Source organism: Homo sapiens, chromosome 10 (genome assembly GCF_000001405.40).
Source record: "Homo sapiens chromosome 10, GRCh38.p14 Primary Assembly".
In the NCBI taxonomy this organism is placed as follows: Eukaryota; Metazoa; Chordata; class Mammalia; order Primates; family Hominidae; genus Homo; species Homo sapiens.
This window is the reverse complement of record NC_000010.11, coordinates 70,347,951-70,374,145: the sequence shown is the minus strand read 5'-3', so window position 1 is coordinate 70,374,145 and position 26,195 is coordinate 70,347,951. Positions and strand designations below refer to the sequence as shown.

The window sequence follows — 26,195 nt, the reverse complement described above, 5'->3', positions numbered from 1 at the left end:
GAGAGGCCCTGCCCAGTTACCACAGCAGCACTGGGGCAGGTGGTGAGGGATGGTGCCTGGCAGGCGGAGAGCCTGGAAGGCTGTGTTGAGGAGCCCCTGAACTTCAACCTCTGTGGACTGGAGATTGCAAGGTCAAGTGGGCCAGTGGACAGGTGGGCATTTCTGTGAGCTGAAGAGTGGGCACCCTGCATCAGGTGAAGTGTGCAGGGCGGCTAGGGCAGGGCATGCTGCGACCAGCTCCCCTGCACTGCCTGGGAGCCATACCCACCAAGGAACCCAAGCAGTTCTCTGGCCACCCTGCCAGACCACTGCCATGCCTGGGATTGGAACCTTGATTTCTGACACCAGAGCCTGGGCCCTGTCTCCACCATGCAGCCCTGGGGTGGGGGCACATGTTTGGTGATTGCCAGGGTCATGACTGCTGTGAAGCTCTAGTCAAGTTGGGAGAGCCTTTAGCCATGGCGATCTTGCCTGAAGCTCAAGACTTTCATGTGGAGGGGACTGGGTCTTAAAGTTGTGGTTGAATAACAGGGATCCTTTGCATCTGTGCATTGGCCAGAGAAGAAGCAAAATTTCCAACCTGGCCATAGTAGGCACCTGTAATCCTGACCCTTAGGAAATGGAGCTGACCAGGCTTATACACTCTAAGGGGGCTGGGTCTAAGCAGTTAGCATGTATTGAGTACCTGCTGTATACTAGTTGCTTGGGGGCTCCCAGGAATGTGTGTAGTAGAGTCCTGGACCTGAGACCAGCCCACCACCTACAAGACAGTCTTCAGAGAACAGTGACACACAGGCTCCATGCTAAGGTGTGTCAGATGGAACACAGGTTGTCCTAATTCAGAGGTGGGAGATATTGCTGGGTATTGAAGTAGACCAGGAAGGCTTTCTGGAGGAGTGGTAATTGAATTGAATCATAAAGTAACTCTATATGGTTCTCATGTAAAATAGCTAACAATCTGAAGCATCCTAAACATCTAGCACCAGAAAATTGCTTAAATAAATTTGGTTACAGCTATACAATGCTTTTTTTTTTTGAGATGGAGTCATCTTGCTTGCCCAGGCTGGAGTGCCATGGCACAATCTTGGCTCACTGCAACCTCCCTCTCCTGGGTTCAAGTGATTTTCCTTCAGCCTCCCAAGTAGCTGGGATTACAGGTGTGTGCCACCATGCCTGGCTTATTTTTCTATTTTTTTTTTTTTTTTAGTAGAGATGGGGTTTTGCCATGTTGGCCAAGCTGGTCTCGAACACCTGGCCTCAAGCGATCTACCTGCCTCAGCCTCCTAAAGTGCTGGGATTATAGGCATGAGCCACCACACCCGGCCTATATAATGCTATTTATGTAGCATCAACAATGGAGCGTAATATTTCATTGTATGATTAAATAAAGACTGGCACATTCTCGGCCGGGCGCAGTGGCTCACACCTTTAATCCCAGCACTTTGGGTGGCCGAGGCGGGCGGATCACAAGGTCAGGAGATCGAAACCATCCTGGCTAACATGGTGAAACCCCATCTCTACTAAAAATACAAAAAAATTAGCCGGGCGTGGTGGCGGGCACCTGTAGTCCCAGCTACTCGGGAGGCTGAGGCAGGAGAATGGTGTGAACCTGGGAGGTGGAGCCTGCAGTGAGCTGAGATTGCGCCACTGGACTCCAGCCTGGGTGACAGAGTGAGACTCCATCTCAAAAAAAAAAAAAACGAAAAGAAGGATTGGCACATTCTCATATATAACGTGAACTGGAAAACATCAAGAATGCCAAACTGTATGTAGGGTAAGGTACGAATTATGTTAAACCTGTGCATATATGTAGGAAAGAAAATGGAAGGAAATAACCAATATGGAAATGGGAGTTAGAAAATACTATTTTGCATTTTCTAAATGTTCTATAATGAACGTATTACTCTTAAAATTAGGGAACAGATTTTAGGGAAAGGACCACCTGCCACTGTGGAAATAAAACACACATCTTGACAACAGATGAGAGTTCAGGGGTAGCTCATTCTCAAAGCCGAGGCCCCTGGGAGGAGACATAGGCTTCCCTGGCTTTTCCCGTCCTGCTGGGTTCCCTCCCGGGGTGGTGCTCCAGAGCCACAGGTGCTGCTGCAGAGTGGGAGATCCCCTGTAGAGACTGGGCTGGAAGAGCTCAGTTACAGGCTTGCTCTCACCTTACTCAGCCAAGTAACCCTGGTAAGCACTTCACATGCTCCCCCAGTGCTCCTGGGGCACCCCTGGCTAGAGCTGGAGCCAGGCCTGCTTCCTCCTGTAACTCGAGGCGAGGATCCCAGCCTTTCTCACTCCACTCCAGGCTTCTCCATCCCCAGAGACGTGGGCTCCTTTCCATTTGGCCCCTGGGAGGCCCTCAGCTTGAGTTGAAGCTGCTTTCCTCCCAGTCTCTCACCCCTCCTCAGCATCATCTTCTCGATGTTTCTAAGGAGCATGCAGAGTTGCAAACTGCCCCTTAGGTAGTCTGCTTCCCCTGAGCCAGGCTCTCTTTCCCTGCCCCTTTTCCATCTGGGTTTCCGTGGGTCCTGGACCGCTGAGGGGCCTTAGTCTGACCCCACCCTTCCCTCCAGCCTGTGGTTGTGGGGCCAGGCTTCCCTGCACCCCGCTCCTCTCCGGGTCTTAGGCTCCTGGCTCTGCAGTGTGCATGGGGACTGGCTTTTAAAGAATAATCGTGACACAGAGGAGCAGGATTTGAAAAGGCCTGAGGCCCGAGACTCTACTACACACATCCCTGGGAGCCCCCAGGCACCTAGTACACAGCAGGTACTCAATACATGTTAACTGCTTATATTTTTGGTAGAGACCCTGTCTCTACCAAAAATAAAATTTAAAAAATTAGCCAGGTGCAGTGGCACACACCTGTAGTGTCAGCTACTTTGGGAGGTTGAGGCGAGAGGATTGCATGAGTCCTGGAGGTTGAGGCTGCGGTGAGCCATGATCGGGCCACTGCACTCCAGCCTGGGCGAGAAAAAGTTCTATTTAAAAAATCTGATATAATATACTCTAGTTTCTCTTCAGATCCAATAAATCTTTTGCTTCTTACTGAAAAAAAAAATCTGATTTAAGGGAATAATCTTATTTCTTTCTTATGCTCTATTTTTTATTTCTTTAATCATTTTAGAAACAAGGTCTTGCTCTGTCACCCAGGCTGGAGTGCAGTGGCGCAATCATAGTTCCCTGCAGCCTTGAATTCCTGGGCTCAAGTGATCCTCCCACCTCAGCCTTCCAAGTAGTTGAGACTACAGGCACTTGCTACTACACCGACTAATTTTTAAAATATTTTGTAGAGATGGGGTCTCACTGTGTTGCCTAGGCTGTTCTCAAACTCCTGGCCTCAAGCTATCCTCTTGTCTCAGCCTATACTTGTTTTAAATCTTTACTGCTTTTTCTTTTTTTTGAAATGGAGTCCCACTCTGTTGCCTAGGCTGGAGTGCAGTGGTGTGATCTCGGCTCACTGTAACCTCCACCTCCTGGGTTCGAGCAATTCTCCTGCCTCAGCCTCCCAAGTAGCTGGGGTTACAGGTGTGTGCCGCCACACCTGGTTAATTTTTAATTTTTGTACTTTTAGTATAGACAGGGTTTCATCATGTTAGCCAGGCTAGTCTTGAACTCCCAGCCTCAGCCTCCCGAAGTGCTAGGATTACAGGCTTGAGCCACCATGCCTGGCCTGCTTTTTCTGTAACAGGACATTCTTGAGGGTTTCAGTCTGTTGTTCCTGCTGACTCTTGCTCACAGTAGGTTATTCTGGGTGGACTTTATATAATATAATAATTTGGACCCTGTGCTCCTGTCTGGTGAACTATCATCTGTGTAATCCTGGGTCGCAGGGCTGTGTCCTCTGGAGGGGTCGTGATTGCTTTGGTCAGGTGCCTGAGTGTGACCAGCCTAGAAGCACGTCTTCTGTTAATGTCTCAGCCCTGAGGGCTTCTGTATATGAATTAAGGGCTGTGAATATTCAAATCCTAAGTATTAACAGGTCTGTGATTTCAGAATCTTAGTGGAGATTTTTGTTTTTTAACAATTCAGTGCCCAGGCAAAGACTAAACTGCTTGTTGTCTTATCAGGTAGTAGATTTTTATTATTTTATTATTTTTTATTATCAAGTAGTAGATTTGGCTCATTAGAGCCTCCACTTCTCAGGTTCAAGTGATTCTCCTGCCTCAGCTATCCCCAAAAATTAGCTGGGCACCTGCCACCATGCCCAGCTAACTTTTGTATATTTAGCAGAGATGGGGTTTCGCCATGTTGCCCAGGCTGGTCTCGAACTCCTGACCTCAAGTGATCCACCTGTTTCGGTCTCCCAAAGTGCTGGGATTCAGATTCTCTATTTTTGATCTTTTGGACTTGCCCTTATTAAATGCCAGGCATCGTGGTAAACAGTTTGCTGGTTTTAACTCATTTAATTCCCCATGACAACCCTATGACAAAGGTGATGTTAATACTCCCATTTTACAGATGAGGAAAGAAAGGTGTGAGAAACATCTTTTATCCAGTGTGTATGTATGGTTTTTTTTTTTTTTTTTTTTTTTTTTTTGAGACAGCGTCTTACTCTGTCACCCAGGCGCTGGAGTGCAGTGACACCATCTCGGCTCACGGCAATCTCTGCCTCCCAGGTTCAAGTATTTTATCTGATGTTTTTAAGTGTTTTGTTGTACAAGGGTATTCAACTTCCCTCCTCTCCTGCTTTGCTTTTGCAGTAGTTTTCCTCTGTTTTATAGCTGCTGGAGCTAGGCTGAGTGTAGGTGACCTGCTGGTGACACAGCTGTTTGGAGTGGGAGCAGAGTTCATAGGTCAGCCTAGGGCACAGCCCTGCTTTTCCCCATCCACCCTGCTGCCTGCCCCGAGGGATGGGGGTGGGGATGAGGAGGAGGGCTGAGAGAACTAAGCGAGGCCAATGATGTGAACCTCCCTCTTCCCGCCTTCTCCCACCCACACACCTGCCTCTCCTCCCAGGTCTTCTTGGAACCACAGTGAGCCCACCCTGTTCCTTGAAAAGGAGGAAAAAAAGCAGAGGTGAACATCTACCTTTGTATTTAAGATTTACATCATTGTTAGGCTGTCTTGAGTTAAAGAAACAATGGGGACAGCCCCCATGGACTGCTTTCATGGGCAAATGTCCCTCTGTCAGTTCCTTCACTCCTGCAGGATTTTCTGAAGGGTAGGTCCTGGGTAACCAACATCAGGATTGTAGGAGTACTGGTTAAAAATGCAGATTCAGGCCGGGCACGGTAGCTCACACCTGTAATCCTAGAACTTTGGGACGCTGAGGCGGGCAGATTGCCTGAGGCCAGGAGTTCGAGACCAGCCTGGGCAACACGGTGAAACCCCATCTCTACTAAAATACAAAAACTTAGCTAGGCGTGGTGGCATGCACCTGTAGTCCCAGCTACTCAGGAGGCTGAGGCAGGAGAATTGCTTGAATCTGGGAGGCGGAGGTTGCACAGTGAGCTGAGATCATGCCACTGCACTCCAGCCTAGGTGACAGAGCAAGACTCAGTCCCCCCTGCCGCCAAAAATAAATAAAAATAAAACCTCAGTTCATTTCAGAAAAAAAATGCAGATTCAGGCTGGGCGCGGTGGCTGATGCCTGTAATCCTTGTGGTGGGTAGATCACTTGAGGTCAGGAGTTCAACACCAGCCTGGCCAACATGGTGAAAACTGTCTCTACTAAAAATGCAAAAATGGCCGGGCGCGGTGGCTCACCCCTGTAATCCCAGCACTTTAGGAGGCCGAGGCAGGCGGATCACGAGGTCAGGAGATCAAGACCATCCTGGCTAACACAGTGAAACCCCATCTGTACTAAAAATACAAAAAATTAGCCGGGCGTGGTGGTGGGCGCCTGTAGTCCCAGCTACTTGGGAGGCTGAGGCAGGAGAATCATTTGAACCCGGGAGGCGCATCTTGCAGTAAGCTGAGATTGTGCCACTGCACTTCAGCCTGGGCGACAGAGTGAGACTCCGTTTCAAAAAAAAAAAAAAAAAAGCAAAAATTAGCCAGGCATGGTGATGCATGCCTGTAGTCTCAGCTACTTGAGAGGCTGAAGCTGGAGAATCTCTTCAACCTGGGAGGTGGAGGTTGCAGTGAGCCAAGATTGTGCTACTGCACTCCAGCCTGGGTGACAGAGCGAGACTCCATCTCAAAAAATAACATAACATAACATAACATAACATAACATAACATAGGCAGATTTATGGGCAATACTCCAGAGCTGTGAAAATAGAATCTGTGAGGGCGGGGGCTGGTAGTGTGGATTTTAGCAGGCCTCCCAGATGATTCTGCCATGCCTTGATCTTATGTATTTTATTGTTATAATTTATATATATAAAATTTACCCTTTTTAGTATATAGTTGAGTTCTGACAAACATATGTTTTTATAACCAACCACAACAAGACTCAGAACCTTTTTATCACCTCATGCTCCCCTGCAGCCAAACCCTCCCCATCCCTGGTACCTGGGAGTCACTGATCTCTTTTCCATCGCTGTGGTTTTGCCTTTTCTAGGATATCATGGAAATGGAATGATAGAGTAAATAAGCTCTTGAGCCTGGCTTCTTTCACTTTAGCATCACGTGTTTGCGATTCATCCATGTTTGGTGGGAATCAGTAGTTTGTTCCTTTCACTGCTGAACAGCTTTACATGGTGTGGGTGTTCCATGATCCGTTTATCCTTTCATCTGCTGAAGGACATTTGGACTGTTTCATTTTTTAACATCACGAACAAAGCCTGTAAACATTTGCATACAGGTTTTGCTGTGAAGCAAAGTTTTCTTTTTCTTTTTCTTTTTCTTTTCTTTCTTTTTTTTTTTTTTTGAGACCGGGTCTCACTCTTTTGCCCAGGCTAGAGTGCAGTGCAGTGGTATGATCTTGGCTCACTGCAGCCTCCGCCCCCTGGGCTCAAGCGTCCTCCCACCTCAGCCTCCTGACTAGCTAGGACTACATGTGTGCACCACTGTACCTGGCTAATTTTTGTATTTTTTGTAGAGATGGGGTCTCCCTGTGTTGGCGAGGCTGGTCTCAAACTCCTGGGCTCAAGCATTCCTCCTGCCTCAGCCTCCCAAAGTGCTGGGGTTATGGGCACAAACCACGGCATCTGGTCAGTAAAGTTTTCATTTCTCTCAGATAAATACATAGGAGTAGGATTGCTGGGTTGTACAGTTGTCCCTCCATATCTGAGGGGATTGGTTCCGGGAGCCCCACAGATACCAATATTCAAGGATACTCAAGTCCTTTGTATAAAGTGCTATAGTATTTGCATCTAACCTACACACATCCTTTTGTATACTTTAAATCATTTCTAGATTACTTATAGTACATAATACAATGTAAATGCTATGTAAATAGTTGTATTGCTTTTTAAAATTTGTATTATTTATTTATTTTCAAATATTTTCTGTGTTTGGTTGAATTTGTGGGTACAAAACCCACAGGTATAGAGAGCCAACTCTATATATTAAGTATATGTTTGACTATAAAAAACTACCACACTCTTTTCCAAAGAGATTGAGAGCTCCAATTGCTTCACATCCTTTTCAACACTCGGTATGTTTTTTACTTGTATACATTCTCTAGGGTGTAATGTATCTCATTGTAGTTTGATTTATTTTTTCTTTTTTTATAGTATTAAGAGGTGTATCATTGTAGTTTTAATTTACAGTTCTCTGATGATGAGTGATATTGAACATCTTTTATTTTTATTTTATTTTATTTTTTTTTTGAGACAGAGTTTCACTTCTTGTCACCCAGGCTGGAGTACAGTGGCACAATCTCAGCTCACTGAAACCTCCGCCTCCCAGGTTCAAGTGATTCTCCTGCCTCAGCCTCCCGAGCAGCTGGGATTACAGGCGCCTGCCACCATGCCTGGTTAATTTTTATATTTTTAGTAGAGACGGGGTTTCACTATGTTGGCCAGGCTGGTCTTGAACTCCTGACCTCAGGTGATCTGCCTGCCTCAGCCTCCCAAAGTGCTGGGACTACAGGCATGAGCCACGTTCCTGGCCGACGTTGTACAACTTTTCATGTGCTTGTTGGCTATCCATTCGTTTTTTGTTGTTGTTTTTTTTTTTTTTTTTGAGCTGGAGTCTTGCTCTGTCACCCAGGCTGGAGTGCAGTGGCACAATCTCGGCTCACTGCAGGCTCTACCTCCCGGTGTTCACGCCATTCTCCTGCCTCAGCCTCCTGAGTAGCTGGGACTACACGCGCCTGCCACCTCGCCCAGCTAATTTTTTGTATTTTTAGTAGAGAGGGGTTTCACCGTGTTAGCCAGGATGGTCTCGATCTCCTGACCTCGTGATCCGCCCGCCTCGGCCTCCCAAAATGCTGGGATTACAGGCGTGAGCCACCACACCCGGCCTATCCATTCGTTTTTGATTAAATCTCTATTCGAATCTTTTGCCCATTAAAAAACATTGGGTTTTCTTTCTTTTTAGTTTTGTTTTTTCGAGGTGGGGTCTTGGTATGTTGCCCAGGCTGGAGTGCAGTGCTGTTCACAGGCACAATCATTGCACACTGTAGCCTGGAACTCCTGGGCTCAAGAGATCCTCCTATTTCAGCTTCCAGAGTAGCTGGAACTACAAGTGCATGCCACCTGCCTGGCTCACATTTTTAATTTTGATGAAATTTAATTTATCGTTTTATCTTTTATACATGATACTTTTGGTATTGTATGTGAGAAGTCTTTGCCTAACCCAAGGTCAAGAAGATTTTCTCCTATCAGGATCATTTGGTTATTGGTTAAGCATGCAGATCCACGGACCCTATTCTAGAGCTTTAAAAGTTGAATCTCGCCGGGCGCGGTGGCTCGCGCCTGTAATCCCAGAACTTTGGGAGGCCGAGGTGGGTGGATCACGAGGTCAGGAGTCCGAGACCAGCCTGACCAACATGGTGAAACCCCGTCTCTGCTAAAAATACAAAAATTAGCTGGGCTTGGTGGCACACGCCTGTAATCCCAGCTACTCGGGAGGCGGAGGCAGGAGAATCTCTTGAACCTGGGAGGCGGAGGTTGCAGTGAGCTGAGATGGTGCCACTGCACTCCAGCCTGGGCGGCAGAGCAAGACTTCATCTCAAAAAAAAAAAAAAAAAAAAAAAAGTTGAATCTCAGAGAGGACCTGGTGATCTGAATTTTAACATGAACTGTGTCTGATTCTTCTTTGCCTTGAATTTTGAGAATCACTGGCTTACTGTTTGCAATTTGGAGCTTCCTGTCCTGATGGCTGCTGCGGGGTGGGGCAGGGGCATTGCCTGGCAGGGTTCTGGATGTGCATGTGGGAGATGATGAATAAATACGGACATGGATGTGATGTGCTCCTGGGGAGGGACCTGAGCAGCTAGGCTGGGAGCTGTGGAATCAAACAGGGAGACCAAGGCTAGCGCGAGGGGTGTGTCCACCTTTCGTCCCTCCCGGGCCCACCTGCGCTTTGGCTGAGCGCTTGCTTCTTTCTGTACTAGCCAGCAGATGGCGCCCTGTCACAGGCCAAGCCAAGGACCGGAAGCCGAGCCCAGGGACCTGGCCAGGCTGTTGCTGGGTGAGCTGTTGCTGGGTGTTCTGACCAAGGCTTCCACTCCCTTCTTGTGTTTATGTTCCTGTCCAACCCCTGCAGGGACCTGATGTTGCAACCCCTTTTCTGAACAAGAGTACTCAGGAAACACTTAATAGATACCCACTGAATCACAACATTTTCTTCGTTCAGAAATTGCCACTGGCTCCTCTTTCAAAAAACACACTTTGAGCAGCTGCTGTGTGTGCCCTGCCTGGAGGGCAATGCATGTGCCCGGGAGTGCCCAGTCTGGAGGGGAGGCAGACATCGCTCTAGCACACTCTTACACTGAAAGGGGGCTGCCAGGGACTGGAGTGGGAGCTGCTTTTCTGGCCTGGTGGGGTGGTGATCTTGGCCCTCACCAGGGCTTGTTGGCCTGTAGTTCCTGGCCCAGAGCTGAGGCCGGCATCTGGTAGGGGTGAGGGGAGTGTGTTTTGCTGTGATGTTTCCTGGCCTGGCGAGTCCTGAGGGTCAGCCTGGCACAGTCCAGCTCTGAGAGCATGGGGGAGGGACTGCGTTCTCACACAGCAGCTCCCAGATGGCTGGGGCTGCCTGGCTTTGTTTGCCACAAGGGCTGAGGCCTCAGATCTGCCATCCTTGGCTCTCTGCCTCTCGCAGGAAGCAGGTGGGAGTTTACCAGGGAGGAGAGGGGGCTGGAGGTCCCCACTGCAGGGTCTGTGCTGCTCTCCCAGGGGGACTGAGCTCCTCTGTAAGGAGACAGACCTTTCCCAACTCTGCCTCCTCTGTGGTGTGCTGTGTTGGGGGTTGACTTGGAGCCTTCTGCCTAGCATGCCACCTCTAGACTTGCTCTGTCTGGATTGGGGCTCCTGGGAGGCTAAGAAAGACCCTTCTCCCTCTTCTCCTGTGCCCCCTGGGGAGGGCTTTCTTCCCTTGAGGGCTCTGCACCTATTTGAAAGGAAGGCTTTGTATCCCTGGGTGGGCACTTCTCTGTCTTGACACCTTTGGTTTTTGAGCTGGATAATTCTTTGTTCTGGGGAGCTGTCCTGTGCTTGGTAAGATGTTTAGCAACATCCTAGCCTCTACCCACTTGAGGCAAGATGCCTTAGTTCATTCAGGCTTCCATAGCAAAATATGAACAGCAGAGATTTATTTCTCACAATTCTGGAGGCTGGGAAGTCCAAGATCAAGGCACTGGCAGGCTCAGTGTTTGGTGCAGGTCTGCTTCCTGGTTCATTAACAGATGTTTCTCACCATGTCCTCCGTGGGTGGGGGGCCAGGGAGAGACTTTTCTGGGGTTTCTTCCTTCCTCCCTTCCTCTCTCTTTTTCCTTCCTTCCTTCCTTGAGAGAATGTTCTGGGGTTTCTTCTCCCCTCCCCTCCCCTTCCCTCCCCTCCACCCTTCCCTCCCTTTGCCCAGGCTGGAGTGCAGTGGCTCAAACTCTTAGGCTAAAATGATCCTCCTGACTCAGCCTCTCGAGTAGCTGGGACTACAGGCACACATCACCATGCCTGGCTAATTTAAAATTTTTTTTTTTTTTAATAGAGATAAGTCTCACCATCTTGCCCAGACTAGTCTCGAACTCCTGGGCTCAAGTGATCCTCCCATCTCAGCCTCCCGAAATCTTGAGATTATAGGTGTTACAGGTTTGAACCACTGCACTGGCCTGGGGGTCTCTTTCATAAGGACACTAATCCTGTCCATGGGGGCTCCACCCTCACGACCTAATCACCTCCCAAAGGCCCCACCTCAAATGCCATCACATTAGAGATTAGATTTTAACCTATGAATTTTGGGGTGACACATACATTCAGTTGATAACACTAGTAGCACCCCCTGCCCTCACTCCACCCCCAGTTGTAACAGCCAAATTTGTCTCCAGACATTTCCAAATGTCCCCTGGGGGCAAAACTGCCCCCCTTGAGGCACGCTGCTCTGGGAGGTCATGTCTGTAAGGGGCCAAGCCTGGCACTGGGTGGAGTCAGCTCTGTCAGGACAGGGCTCACGCCAAGTGAAGCTGGGTGAGGTGAAAAGATGAGAGTTCTGTTTTACAGGAGGCTGTGGTCCAGAAATGAGGAAGCTGGGGTTCTGGTCCTCACTCTAACTCCCCATTGCAGGGCCCAGTTCTCATCTGTCAAATGTGGGACTCCAGCGCTGACCTTTAGCAGTTCTGTCTGTATTAAACCCTCATCGGCTTCTTCTACACAATGAGTAAAACCCAAGATCATACCACAAAGCTGTGGATGACCTGACACTTGCAAAATTCTCTGACTGCACTTTGAGTAGCTTGGGGCTTCCCTCATCTTTACAGCCCAGACTATCAGTCCTTTGAACTATTAAGCCTTTCTAGCCACAGGCCTTTGCACATACTGTTCCCTTTGCCTGGGATGCTCTTCCCTGTTCTTCACGTGTCTGGGCCCTTCTTATACTTTAAGGCCCAGCCTAAATGCTTCTTTTTTTCTGAGACAGAGTCTTGGCTCTGTCACCCAGGCTAGAGTGCAGTGGCACGATCTCAGCTCACTGCAACCTCCGCCTCCTGGGTTCAAGTGATTCTCGTGCTTCAGTCTCCTGAGTAGCTGGGATTACAGGCGTGTATCACTATTGGCTAAATTTTTGTATTTTTAGTAGAGACGGGGTTTCACCATGTTGGCCAGGCTGGTCTCGAACTCCTGGTCTCATGTGATCCACCTGCCTTGGCCTCCCAAAGTGTTGGGATTACAGGTGTGAGCCACCATGCCCGGCCTGAATTTAAGATCTTTTTAACTGGCATCTGCCTCAATCTCAGTTGACTGTTTTTGGCTAAGGTGCTTATTTTTGTCGTGCTCCAGTTCATCCTCGAGATTCCTGGTTTTGTCACATTCACTCCGGCAGATGTGTATTTACTGTGTCCTGTGTCTGTGTACCGTTCTGCAGAGGATGGGATGGGAGGGTGAGGGTGGGGGAGGGAGCCAATGACTGGGCCCCGGCAGGTGTGCCTTCAAGTTGTGCACTTGCTGTGATTTCCACCTTGATCGTCCTTTCCCCAAATCTTTGTATGCCCTGCTCTTTTTTTATTCTTTTTTATTTGTTTGCTTCTCTTAACACTGTACCTCTCAGATCTTATCCTTTTTATTCTTGTCTCAGCTAAATGTCACTTCCTCCTAGAAGCCCTTCCTGATCACCCTAGTGAGGGTTGCCCCTGCCCCTGCCTCAGTTACCTGCTCTCCCATTATACCGTTTTGTTTTCTTGAGGGCAGTTATCACTGCTTGCCATTCCCTCATATACTGCCTTCTCGCCACACTAGGGCGTAAGCTCCCTGAGGGCAGAGACTCACTCTCTCTTGCTCACCATCATATCCTCGGACAGTGCTGGCATATAGTGGATACTCAGGAAATATTTGTCTGATGAGTGAGTGCATCTGATTTTCCCAGCTCTGGAGAGGTGATATTTCATGTCACTTATCAAAGGAGAAACTGAGGCCTCATGAGCTGCAGTGGTTTGTGTGGACGCTCACAGCCAGCAAATCTTAAAATCTTGTGCTGAGATTTGAACTTGAATCTGTTGGCCTCCTGTGCCTTCATTCTCTCTTTCTCTCTCTCTCTCTTTTTTTTTTTTTTTTAGAGATGGGGTCTCACTCTGTCTTCCAGTCGGGTGCAGTGGCATGATCATAGCTCACTGCAGCCTCAACCGTCTAGGCTCAAGTGGTCCTCCCACCTCAGCTTCCTGAGAGTAGCTGCGACTATAGGCGTGTGCCATTATGACAGTTCCCATACCCTCTTTAACATGCCACCCATTTCAGTGGGACCTAATTTCTGCCCTCTGGGAGCTCTCTGCCCTGCTAGGAAGAGTGAGACAAACACGTTGACAACTTTCATGTGAGACACAACGGGATAGGGACCCTGACAGAGCTGGCAGAAATGCAGTGGGCCCAGTGTGGTGGCTCACACCTGTAATCCTCGCACTTTGAGAGGCCAGGGCGGGAGGATCACTTGAACCCCGGAGTTCAAGACCAGCCTAGGCCATATAGTGAGACCACTGTCTCTACAAAAAAACTAAAAGAAAAATTAACCGGGCAGGGTGGCGTGAGCCTGTAGTCCCAGCTACTCAGGAAACTGAAGCAGGAGGATCACTTGAGCCTGAGAGGTCTAGGTTGCAGTAAGCTATGATCATGCCACTGCACTCCAGCCTTGGCTATAGAGTGAGACCCTGTCTCAAAAGAAAAGAAATGAAGAGCAAGAGAAGGAGGAAGAAGAGGAGGAGGGGGAGGAGGAGGAGGGAGATGGGGAGGAGGAGGAGGAGGAGGAAAGCAATGAGGAACCAGGTGTGGTGACTCACACCTGTAATCCCAATGCTTTGGGAGGCAGACTGGGATCACTTGAGGCCAGGTATTTGAGACCAGCATGGGCAAGATAGCAATACCCCATCTCTAGTAAAAACAAAAATAAAAGAAATGCGGATGGGCGCAGTGGCTTACGCCTGTAATCCCAGCACTTTGGGAGGCTGAGGCGGGTGGATCATGAGGTCAGGAGTTCAAGACCAGCCTGGCCAAGATGGTGAAACCCCGTCTCTACTAAAAATACAAAAATTAGCCGGGTGTGGTGGTGGGCACCTGTAATCCCAGCTACTCGGGAGGCTGAGGCAGGGAATTGTTTGAACCTGGGAGGCAGAGGTTGCAGTGAGCCGAGATCACGCCACTGCACTCCAGCCTGGGCAACAGAGGGAGACTCCACCTCAAAAAAAAAAAAAAAGAAAAAGAAAAAAAATGCAGTGGAACAACGGGGGTTCAAGGGCAGGAGCAATTACATTAGTTGAGGACATGAACAGAGGCTTAGTGGAGAGGAGGCATTTAAACAAGTCCTTGAAATACAGTGTTGACGAGAACTTTTGAAGCTAAGGGAGAACATTCTACTTAATGGGAACAGTACCAGCAAAAATGTAGAGGTGGAAAAATAAAGGGAGTTGCAGGGAATAATAAGCAGCCTGGCTTGGCCAGAGGGCAAGAGCTTTGATGAAGAGGTGCAAGAGGGATATCTAGAAAGGGAGGTGGGAGCTGGATCCTTCTGTGTGGATGCTAGGCTTTGGACAGTGGGGTCAGCACCTCCAAACTAGCATGGAGAGTATAATTTTGAGACAAGGTCTCACTCTGTTACCCAGGCTGAGGTGTGGTGGCATGATCTTGGCTCACTGCAGCCTCAAACTCCTGGGCTCAAGTGAGACTCCCAAGTAGCTGGGCCCACAGGTGCATGCCACCACACCCAGTTAACTTTATTTTTTATACAGACGGAGTCTCACTATGTTGTCCAGGCTGGCCTTGAACTCCTGGGCTAAAATGATCCTCCCATCTCTGCCTCCCAAAGTGCTGGGATTGCAGGCATGAGCGACTGTGCCTGGCCTGGCATGGAGATTCTTGAATGGGAGAGTGATGTAATGGAAAGTGGTGTTCAGGTGTTCGAATGGAAGGGCGGGGCTGGGGTTTGGAGGGCAGGGAGAGGGATTCTTCTGTGTAGATACAGCCACAGCCTTTGTCAAGGCAGATTCCAGGATCACAGAGCTAGTTTCTTTCAGGCTGCAGTAAAACCATAGTAGAATAATTACTTTGCTGCAGACTAGTGTGTTTCTTGCTTTGAACTCAACACCTAGATAAATATTAGCTCATTCTTTTCTTCATTCCCTAAAAGCGAATTTGTACCCCCATTTTACAAAGTGGGATGCTGAGACCAAGCTTCCCGATGGTGAGGGGTGTAACTATGTTCAGAGCGTTTGCCCAGCGCTGTACTGGGTGCGAGGGGTGGTCCGCAGAGGCTGCCTGTGCCCCTACATAAGCTCACCTCTTGTGGGTCCTGGAGGCAGGCTGCAGATCTCTACCAGCCAGGAGAAAACAGTCCAGGTCCCACGCTAAGACAAGTGTCCTGAGGTTTGAGGTGGGTGCCCTTTCTGGGGAGGTGGGGCTAGGCTGGTGGGCAGAGAGGGGAGGGAGGGGCATTCTAGACTGCGGTAGCCAGTCAGCATGGTCGGTGAGCTTGAGGAGTGGCAGGTGGTTGAGGCCAGCCATGCCAGGCAGTGGTGTCTGTCTGGGGCAGACGTGGTGCACAAGGCACTGGTTGGCGACATTTGTTGCTGCTTCCTGGGTCCCATCAGTCATGCATCTGTGAGATCAGGAGGACAAACAACTGTTCTGAGAAGCCATTGCTTACAGGGGTGGATTCCTTGCTATATCAAGCCCTGAAAGATTGTCCGAGGAGGAGAAAGTTGCTGTAGAAATCTGGTCAGTTGGTAACTGCAGCCCTCTATCCCCAGGGTGCTGTGTCGGTTCAGCGGGTGTGGCTCTCGCAGCTTCCATCTGCTGCCCCCTCGCCCTCTGCCCTGCTCCAAGTGGATTGCGTTGTTTGGCATCTCATCACACCCGAAGATAACCTTGAGAGTAGTTTTGTGCATCCCACATTTGGAGAGACATAGGCTGTGTTCATTTCTGTGTTTCACAGATAGGGAGGTTGAGGCCCCATAAGTGACTTGCCCAAAGACACTGGGTTAAAGGCAGCAGCAGATCCGGGTTTCTGGACTTTCTCTGTAGGGCGATGTTCTCAAGAAGATGTCAAACTCTACCCTTTGCCTACTTAGTGTGTGGCTTTGAGCAAGTTCTTAACTTCTCTGGGCTTTTGTTTCCTTCTCTGCAAAAAGGGACTGATTGATGCTTTCCTTGCAGGAAGACCTCAGGGCCTGCCCAAGCCTCTCCAAGGTCTGGCTTGGCCACGTGGCCTCCTCCACTCGGACCAGCTGTGGTCCCTTTAGAGCCATTAGTGGCCATACTGTTAGTGTCATCCTGGCTGCTGTTTCTATTCCCTTTTGTATGTATACGTTTGTGATGAGTCATCAGTGAAATCAAAATAATTTAATGTCTCAAATTGTTGACTGTGTGTCATTTGATTGTATTCTGTGTGGGATTTACTTTTGATTTTAATTGAATATGGGCTTCTTTTCTCCTTACTGGCTTGCCAGGAAGGAGGGTTTTTTTTGGAAAGTCCCAGAGCCCATGATAGCACATGCGGTTGTCTCCTCGTCCAGGGCTTGTGAGAATAAATGCAATCCAGAGGTCATTTCTCTCCTCCAGGGATGACAGAGCTGAAGCACATCTTTGTCAGATTCTCAAATAAAAGTAATACTTTTGCATCCTCATAGCAGCATCTCTTACTTACTGAGCACAAACTACCTGCCAGGCACTGTGCTAAGAGCCTTGCAGACGTTTTATTTCATGCTCAGAACCACCTGTTCGTTGGATCCTGTTGTCCTCATTTCTTTTTGAGGTATATTCAAATACTGTAACGTTTACATTTTAAAATATACAATGCAGTATTTATTTGTATATTCACAAGATTGTATAACCATCACTGCTGTCTAATTCTAAGCCATTTTCATCACCCAAAAAAGAAACCCTGTACCATGCGGAGTCCTTTCCCATTTCCTGATCTCCGCCCAGCCCCAGGCCATTACCAGTCTACTTTCTGTCTCTATAGATTGCCTCTTCTGGACATTTTATGTAAATGGAATCATGCAACATTTGTCCTTTTGTGACTGGCTTCCTTCACATAGCAAAATGTTTTCAAGGTTCATTCATGTTGCAGCCCATGTCAGGATTTCATTCCTTTTTATGGCTGAATAATATTCCATTGAATGGATATATGACATGTCCTTTATCTGTTCATCAGCTGATGGACATTTGGATTGTCTCCACTTTTCAACTATTGTGAAAATGCTGCTGTGAACATTTATATACAGGTGTTTTTTTTTGTTTTGCTTTGTTTTTTGTTTTGTTTTGTTTTGAGGTGGAGTCTCATTCTGTTGCCCAGGCTGGAGTGCAGTGGCGCGATCTTGGCTCACTGCAACCTCCGCCTCCTGGGTTCAAGCAATTCTTCTGCCTCAGCCTCCTGAGTAGCTGTGACTACAGGCACCTGCCACCACACCCTGCTAATTTTTGTATTTTTAGTAGAGACGGGGTTTCACCATATTGGCCAGGCTGGTCTCAAACTCCTAACCTCGTGATCTGCCCGCCTCGGCCTCCCAAAGTGCTGGGATTACAGGTGTGAGCTACTCTGCCCAGCACTACATACAGGTTTTAAAACTTTATTTATTTGTTTTTATTTTTTTGAGACAAAGTCTCAAAAGGTCTGGCTCTGTTGCCCAGGCTGGGGTGCAGTGGCATGATCTTGGCTCACTGCAACCTCTGCCTCCCAAGCTCAAGCGATCCTCCCACCACAGCCTCCCAAGTAGCTAGCTGGGACTACAGGCATGCACTACCACACCCAGCTACTTTTTGTATTTTTTATAGAACCAGGGTTTTACTGTGTTGCCCAGGATGGTCTTGAACTCTTGAACTTAAGTGATCCTCCCACCTTGGCCTCCCAAAGTGCTTGGGTTACGGGCGTGAGCCACCATGCCCAGATTGCATACAGGTTTTTGAAAGAGCTCTTGTCCTCACTTTACTGAAGAAGAAACTGAGATTGGAGTTAAGTAACTTGCCTGAGGTCCCACAGCAAGAAAGAGTTGGCCCAAGAAAGGATTCAATTTGGATTCTGAGAAGAAGATATTGCTTTCTAGGTCTCTTGTGTGGTTAGAAGTTATTCTGACTGAGTATGATAGCCACTGGCTGGAGGGCCTCATGCTCAGCTTTCTTCTCTGAGGCCAACTCTCTGTAGCACATTATTTCCTAGAGAGGCAGGGGCTTCTGCAGCAGGACGTGAGAAGGCACCTCTGAGATGCAGGATTCGTGTGTGCGTTTGTCAGAGGGGTGTCCACACAGCCCTCTGAGCGTGCGGCTGCTCTCCCCAGCAGCTCCCGTGAGCTTTGCCCTGGCAGGACTTTAGCTCTGTTCCCTATGTCCCCATCAACACCCATCTCCACTGATCCAGGTTTTTGGGCGTTTGAGGAAAAACATACCCCAAGGGTCACTGCATGTTGGGGATGTTCCTTTCTTTAAACTGGAGATATTTGTAAGAAGTCATTAAGTGCTTGTAAAACTCTTGCACAATATACAAGTCCATGAAATAGGAAGTGAAAGAAAAAAATCCCCCTAAACCCACTGGCACTTTCAAGTTGAGTGGTTTCCCCACGTCTCAGAAGACGCGCCTTCCCGAAGTGCCTTTCTGCCCTTCTCTTCCCGACAACCCTCCCGGGCCCAGTAGCTGTGTGTGCTATTGCGGTGGGACTTTCTGGACGTATGTGGTCCTCGGTGAGCTCTTCCTCCCATGCCCTTTTCTCTATAAGGGGCATGAGACAGGAAACAGGCTCAGAAACATTGCTCTAGAGATCGGGAGTAAAACACCCCCAAAGACCTGAAAGTGGTTGTCCCTGGGGGAGGGGATTTGTCAAGAGGGAGCAAGTCCGGCTGCTTTTTGTCTTAAGCCTTTTAGAGCCAGCCAGCTCTGTAAGCACTACAACAAACAGCTTTGTTAAAGTGATGCCTAATTGTGCCCAGTGATGCACGGCACGATCCCTTGATGAGCAGTTGTTTTGCTCGCTGTCTGCATCCTGTGTGTCCCTACTTTGGAAATTGAGTGACATTTCAGAGACTGGCAGCTCAAGTCATGGGGGGCTCCTGTTTGACAGAGGGCTGTCTGAAGAGCCTTTGTTTAGTAGAATCATGGAGTCAGAGGATGTCTGGTCTGGTTGAGACCCCAAATCATCTAGTCCAAACCCTCATTTTACAGATGAGGGGACAAGGCCCATGAAGAAGTAGTGTCTCTGAGCTCCCCCTGGCTGATAGTGGAGGGGCTGGGATAAGAATTAGGCCTCCTGAGTTACAGCCCAGGGCGGCCTCCACACCGAGGGTCACGTGTGCCTCTGAGTACCAGAAGCATGAACAAAGCGAGAGAAGAGAGTGAAGAGACTCTGTCTCTGCTGCTCTGTCCTGAAATAGTCTGCTCAGAGGGGAAGCAGGAGGAACCCAGGGCACAAAAAATTTCCATGAGCGTGTAAACCTCATGCCCTTAGGCAGGCAGGAGCAGCCAGCACTCAGTTACTGTCATTACCACCCCATTATCATCATCAATACAGGAAGCAGCTACATCAGGAGGAGGCCTGGCCCCTCTAGGCCAGTGATGCTTCAGCTAAAACACAGATGCCTGGGCCTTACCCCCAGAGTTTCTGATTCTGTGGGACTGGGGTGGTGCCTGAGAATGTGCCTTTCTGACAAGTTCTGGGGTGATGCTAATGCTGTGGGTGATGCTGATGCCCTTGGAGAACCACTGCACTGGAGTAGCCCTTGCTACTTAGTGTGGTCCTTGGACCTGCTGGGTGGAAATGCAGACTCTTACGCCCCACCTAGACATGTGGCATCAGAATCTGCACGTTGGCAGTGTCCCCAGGTGTCACACTTTAGTTTGAGAGGTGATGGTATGGTGCAGAGTTCACCTGGCTGCACGTTAGAGTCACCCAGGGAGCTTTTACCCTCCCTTCCATTCCCAAGCCCCAGCCCCCACTAATTAAATCAGACTCTCTGGGAGAGAGACTTAGGCATCAAGAGTCTATAGAGCTCCCAAGGTGGCTCCTGGTTGTGGCCAAGTCCTAGAATCCACAGTGGCAGCTGCAAGGGGCCTTGGAGATGATCAGTTGCAATTTACCAAGATTTGAAAACTAAGGGCATAAGGACCCAAGGTCCCACAGACAGTAAGTGACAAATCCAGGCTGTTGATACCCTGATGACTCTTTCACCAGCTCTTTCAACTCTAAGTCCCCTTTTATATAGTTCCATGGGAACTGCAATATACTAGTGTTCCCAGGGAACCCATTGTAAATCATGGAAGATCTATCTGCTCATTGGAAACCCACCACCTCCCAATCTGTTTCAGCATGGCAGGCTGTCCTGAATGCGGGTTACATATTCTAGGGAGGCAGTGTAGCATGGTGGTTAGGAGCAAACCCTTAAGCTCAGCAGCTTACTAACCAAGACTCCTGGCTCTGTGTCTTGATTCCTCCTCTGTACAACAGGAATAGTAATAATAGTGCCCATCTCATGGATCATCTGAGGTCAGGAGTTCGAGACCAGCCTGGCCAACATGGTGAAACCCCTTCTCTACTAAAAATACAAAAATTAGTTGGGCGTGGTGGTGCATGCCTGTAGTCCCAGCTACTCAGGAGGCTGAGGCAGGAGACTCACTTGAACCCAGGAGGCGGAGGTTGCAGTGAGCCGAGATTACACCACTGCACTCCAGCCTGGGTGACAGAGTGAGACTCTGTCTCAAAAAAATAAAAAATACAAAATAGTGCCTGTCTCATGGGGATGTTGTGATGTTGTGGGGGTTAACTGAGTTAATGCATGACAAGCTGAGATCACTAATTGCAAGCAGCAGGCACTTTGTAAATGTTTTTTATTATTTCATTAACTGGTTGACCTTGAATAAGTCATATGACTTAGAACAATTTGTTTGACTTCTCCATGACTCAGTTTCCTTAACTGTTAACCAGGGGTAAGCATAGTAGTGACCTATTTATAGGGTGGTTGTGAGGAATGGAGGGAATAAAAGGTCTGAAGCCCCAGCACAGCTTCTGGAACACACCTGGTGTCAATCAGTGGTGGCTGCAGTTATGTGTTAGAGACTCAACACCGGTGCAGGAGAAAGTTCTGGCCAGGCCAGAGTCTGAGCTAGGTTGGTCCTGCTCCTCTCACGGGAGCAGCCAGAACCATGAGGATTGAAGTTTCTGGGGATGTTTTTGCCTGGAAAAAAGTTTATAATGTTCTGTGGTTGCCAGCAGCTGGGGGATGGGAAAATAGGGGGTTAACAAGTAAAGAGTTTCCGTTTCGCAAGATGCAAAAGTCCTGGAGATTAGTTGATTGCACAACAATGTAAATATACTTAAAGCTACTGAACTGTACATTTAAAAATGGTTAAGATGGCACATTTTAAAAAATATTTAATTTTTAAAGGGGAGTGTTAGGTTCACAAGGTTCACAAGCAAAATTAAGAGTTAAGAATAGAGATTTTCCAATATACTCCCCACTGCCCACAAACAGGCATTGCCTTCTCCATGATCAACATCCCCCACCAGAGGGGCATATTTACTACAATTGGTGAACCTACGTTGGTGCATCATTGTTACCCAAAGTCCATGGTTCACATTAGGGTTCACTCCTGGTGTTGTACAGCCTTAGGCTCAGATTAATGTATAATGACATGTGTCTGCCACATGTCACTTTCACCGCCTGAGAATCCTCTGTGCTCTGCCTGCTAATCCCTTGCCACTGATAAAATGCTACATTTTTTTTAGCAGTTTTTAAAAGGAGGATTTATTTGACAAGTTTCACTTAGCACAATATACCTAAAAGGAAGTCACACTACAATGAAAGATTTAAATCAAGGCCTCAGAATTTCATACAAACACCAAGGCCAAAATTCTAAAGTATTGGTATTGCGTTTCAGATTTTTCCCATTAACTTAAAAAAAAAAAAAGCTTAAACGTACATGCCTTACAAGTTATTAAGTGAAACTAGAATTAACAAACATGCCAAAATGTTTCTAGACACAGCTCCTACCTTGAGTTTTACAAAAAACAAAGCATGTCTTTCCACATGCATCCAGTGTTCAGTGTAATGTGGCAAAGGGCAACATTTAACATAATTCAACTTCTTTCACCTAAATATGCTTACTAAGTACACCCTATAATATAACTAACTTGAGAAAAGCTGGAACTTGCTCAACAGTTGTAGTTTACTCGGCTTCACTGTTACATCCTAGATGAGTATTGTGTTAAAAAATATTGAGCCTTAAGTCTTCATAACAATCCTGATTTCCACTAGAGAGTAAGCATAAATCACAAGCTTGTATTGCAGAAACTGTAAAGTTGACCAAGAGTCAGTGATTAGGATCGATCAATTACATTTCCCTCCACAACTCACACTGGACGTGTTAGACATCCCTCCCATTCCTCATGCCTATAGATGCATGGCTTCCATGATTCTAGTTGCTGCTATTCATTGCTCCTTGGCTACTTATGCAATGTTTGATTGAAAATCACGGGAGTTTTCCCGTAAAACTTGGTCATATCGCTCGCTAAATTTTTGTTATGTGTATTTTACAATAATTAAAAAGAAAATGTTTATAATGTCCTTTGTCATCATTTATGTGAAGGATTGCCATGCAGAAGAGAGGGCAGCAGGACTGGTGAGTGGTGAAGGGTGGCAGTTATTAATACAGTTCGTTAAAGAACTCTCTAACAATTAAACTCATTCTATGGAAGGAGGAGGGAGCCCTCCCATCACCAGTGTTCAAGGAGAACTCTATGACCTCAGATGGAGACATGGAGAGATTTCAGGCCTCAGATTGGAGGCTGTGTTACTCAGTGTTTCCCAAGTTTGCCTATTGATAAGAATCACCTGGGGATATTGTTAAAAACAAATTTCATGGCACCATCCCAGATTCACTGAAAGGTAGAATATCTGGGGGAGGATGAAAGGACCAGCCTCTTCAGATGATTGTCTCTTTTTTTTTTTTCTTTCTGAGACAGGGTCTCACTCTGTCACCTAGGCTGGAGTGCCATGGCACGATCTCGGCTCACTGCAGCCCTGACTTCCTAGGCTCAAGCAATCCTCCCACCTCAGCCTCCTGAGTAGCTGGGACTACAGGTGTGCACCACCATGACTGGCTAATTTTTTATTTTTCTAGAGACAGGGTCTCACTGTGTTGCCCAGGCTGGTCTCAAACTCCTTGGTTCAAGCAATCCTGCCTCAGTCTCCCAAAGTGCTAGGATTACAGGCATGAGCCACTGTGCCCAGCCTTCAGTTGATTCTAACTCAGAAGTTTGGCAAACGTCGGCCAAAGGACCCCCGGTCTCCTAACCCTGAGATTCCATGAAGAAAGCTTCTCAGTGGGAGTGGGTCACACTGGCCACAGAGTTCCTCCAGTAGCCTTGGGAGCCTTACTTCTTGGCTAGGTCACAAGCCCATGTGCCTACTGGCCTGAGTCCCTGACACCCTCGCCTCTGGGCCCTGTGACTTGGTTGGCAGGGAAGTCCTGCTCCATTTCCCACTCTTGGGCCCTGTCACCAGGCCCACTTCTCAGCAGGGGCTGGCAGGGGTCAAAGTTCTATATTTCTAAGTCACCATGCAAGCTCAATCAGGCGCTCCTGAATTCCAGCTGAGTGTTCTGTCTTCTTGGATTTTGCTCCTTCTGCCCTGGTTCTGCCCACTGATTACTTTTCATCAAGCATTCATTAGAATTAACGAGATAAGCTTTAATAAAGGACCCAAGCAATTTGAATAAAAGGCTTCTTTATTAATGCAAAAAACTGTTCTAATTAGAAGTTTGGGGACATGCAGTTTGGTCTTCTTGCAATAATAATTGTAATTAGGAGGATCATCACAGCTTGTGTTTATTGTACTGCTACCGCCTCCCCCAAGGATCTTTCTGTTCCCTGCTGCAGCCCAGGTGTCAGTGGCTGGGGCTGCTAGGGAAAGTCTAGCTGCTGTCTACATGGTGCTGGAGGAGCCTGGCATTGCCCCTTACCTACCATGCCATTCCTGACCCCTGTCGGGGTCTGTGACCGCCATTTAGCACTAAATGATTCCAATGCCAGGAGCCTTCTTCTCTGAGCATTCATGCAGCATGGGCGAGGCTCTGAGAAAGTGTAGAAGAAGGCAGAGCTCAAGGAGGGAGTCCCAGAGGGGTGACAGTCCTTTGCTCATGCTGTGGCTCACTCCTGGGTTCCCTTCCCTCTCTCCTTTTTGTCTGTAGAACTCTCATCCATCCACCTGAATCTAGGGTGACCCTAAACATCCCAATCTGCCAGTGACTGAGGAGGGATTCCCCAGGATGCAAGACTCTCAATGCTAAAATTAGGAAAGTCCTGCTTAAACTGCCCTACTCGTCACCCTACTTGAATCTTTGGTTTTGAATCTTTGCATTCAGATCCCATCACTGTACCACAATGACCATGGACAATTTACCTATCAACATGTGCCTCATTCTCCTGCTGTGAGGGTAACTCAGGTTGTCAAAGGAATTAAATGAGTTACTATAGAAAAAGTGCCTAGAACTGTGTCTGGCACATAGCAAATACTCAGTGCTGTTAGCTGTGTTTATTTTATTTATTTATTTGTTTATTGAGACAGAGTCTTGCTCTGTTGCCCAGGCTGGAGTGCAGTGGCACGATCTCTGCTCACTGCAACCTCTGCCTCCTCGGTTCAAGCAATTCTCCTGCCTCAGCCTCCTGAGTAGCTGGGATTACAGGCACGCACCACCACGACCGACTACTTTTTGTATTTTTATTAGAGACAGGGTTTTAACATGTTGGCCAGGCTGGTCTCGAACTCCTGACCTCAGGTGATCCACCTGCCTCAGCCTCCCAAAATGCTGGGATTACAGGCATGAGCCACCATGCCCAGCCCTGCGCTTATTAACTTGAATGGGACCTTTGAGATCACCAGCTTGGCCTCTGCTGGTTTAGGAATTCTCTCTGTGGAGACTCTGCCTGACCATGCTGCTTGATGCGGTCCTCACGTCCTCACCCAGGAGCCTTTTCTTTATGCCTTGGTGAACTATATACTGTCTGTGCTGAGGACCCATAGAGAATGAGACCTTCTCGATGACATCCCACAGCTCTTTGAGGACCACTCTCTCCTGTCTGCAGCCTGGATCTTCTCTTCCCTGGGTGGGGCCCCCCTTCCCTAGTGGGACCTGGCCCCCAGTCACATCTTGGCTGTGTTCTCTGGCAGCAGTGCCGTCTGTTCCTATAAACTCAGGGCCCAACATTGAACTTGGGGCTCATGGGGCTTTTTCCTTCTGCAAACTGGTAGAATGGGTATAGATGGTGCCCAACCTCTGAATTAGACCTGCAGAGGAATTTCCAGAGAACAGAAGGTGACTGGCTCGTGCAGAAGGCTGTTGGCCCCTTTCCCCAGAGGCATTGAGGGCTCTGAACTTGAAGGGCCTACAGGAGTTTGTAGACAAGACCTCGGTTTCCCATGGGGGAGTTCAGCATATACTCCCTTTCTCTGGCCTGGCCTAGAGCCAGGCACCTAGGCATGTTTTTGACTCAAGGGGGCAGTAGAGTGGAGTGGTTGGGACCCCTGGCTTCCTGATCCACCTAACCTGGATCCAAATCTCCCCGTCCTCACTTCTAGCTATATGACCTGGGGCAAGTCACTTTATTACAGTCTCCTGTGTGCAGAGGGGATAGTTCGTACTTACATAGCACATGTGAAATAGTAAGTGGTGTTGTTTATGGTTGTTATTATTCCCATCCCCCGTGTGTGGCATACAGCATATTGCTCCTTGTGTACAGATGGGAACATGACTGTGTAAGGATGATATTTGCTCCTGGATCTCCATTTTCTTGTCCCGGGACCATGGAGAACTGTTCTGGAGATCATGGACCTCTCCTCCCAGCAGGGGTGAGAGTCCATGTGCTGTGTTAGTGGCTGGTGATGGGGCTGGGATGAGGGGTGTTTGCATCACATCCCAGCAGGGCCCTTCTGTGGAACTCCTGGATTGCCTTTGACGTTGGTGGCAGCCAGGCTGTTCTGGGTAGGAGCTTGGTGGTGCACCCCTCTCATGCATCCTGGCCTCTGGTGGGTACTGGAGGGGTCACATAATGGAGAAAACAGATGGAATCCCTGGGGACACAAAAAAGTCATAGGTAAGTCACAGGATACTGTGCAGATCAGTACCTGGCACACAGGAGGGCCTCGATAGCTATTTGTGGAGAGTGAAAGAAAGAAGCAGGTGTCGGA

General features: G+C 48.2%; 1 protein-coding gene across 17 annotated transcripts in view, besides 3 other annotated features; it reads left to right on the top strand.

The window, feature by feature from the left end:
* Positions 1-26,195, top strand: part of LRRC20 (leucine rich repeat containing 20) — an 83,651-nt gene that overhangs the window by 8,480 nt on the left and 48,976 nt on the right. Inside the window, exon 1 of one of the 17 annotated variants that reach the window (XM_047425422.1) lies at positions 7,081-7,100. The exons of the other annotated variants lie outside the window; for them this stretch is intronic. The gene's annotated coding sequence lies outside the window, so the exon portion shown is untranslated. Of the gene's footprint in view, positions 1-7,080; positions 7,101-26,195 lie in introns of those variants that run through there. 17 annotated transcript variants of the gene reach the window in all.
* Positions 4,745-5,246: an enhancer, noted in NCBI's record as "NANOG hESC enhancer chr10:72128656-72129157 (GRCh37/hg19 assembly coordinates)". NCBI's record gives its function as "activates a minimal SCP1, AML or CMV promoter by ChIP-STARR-seq in naive H9 embryonic stem cells {active_cell/tissue: H9 hESC(naive)}" and the evidence as "EXISTENCE:reporter gene assay evidence [ECO:0000049][PMID:30033119]".
* Positions 18,271-18,480: an enhancer, noted in NCBI's record as "active region_3502". NCBI's record gives its function as "activates an Ori minimal core promoter by ATAC-STARR-seq in GM12878 lymphoblastoid cells {active_cell/tissue: GM12878}" and the evidence as "EXISTENCE:reporter gene assay evidence [ECO:0000049][PMID:35858748]".
* Positions 18,701-18,800: an enhancer, noted in NCBI's record as "active region_3501". NCBI's record gives its function as "activates an Ori minimal core promoter by ATAC-STARR-seq in GM12878 lymphoblastoid cells {active_cell/tissue: GM12878}" and the evidence as "EXISTENCE:reporter gene assay evidence [ECO:0000049][PMID:35858748]".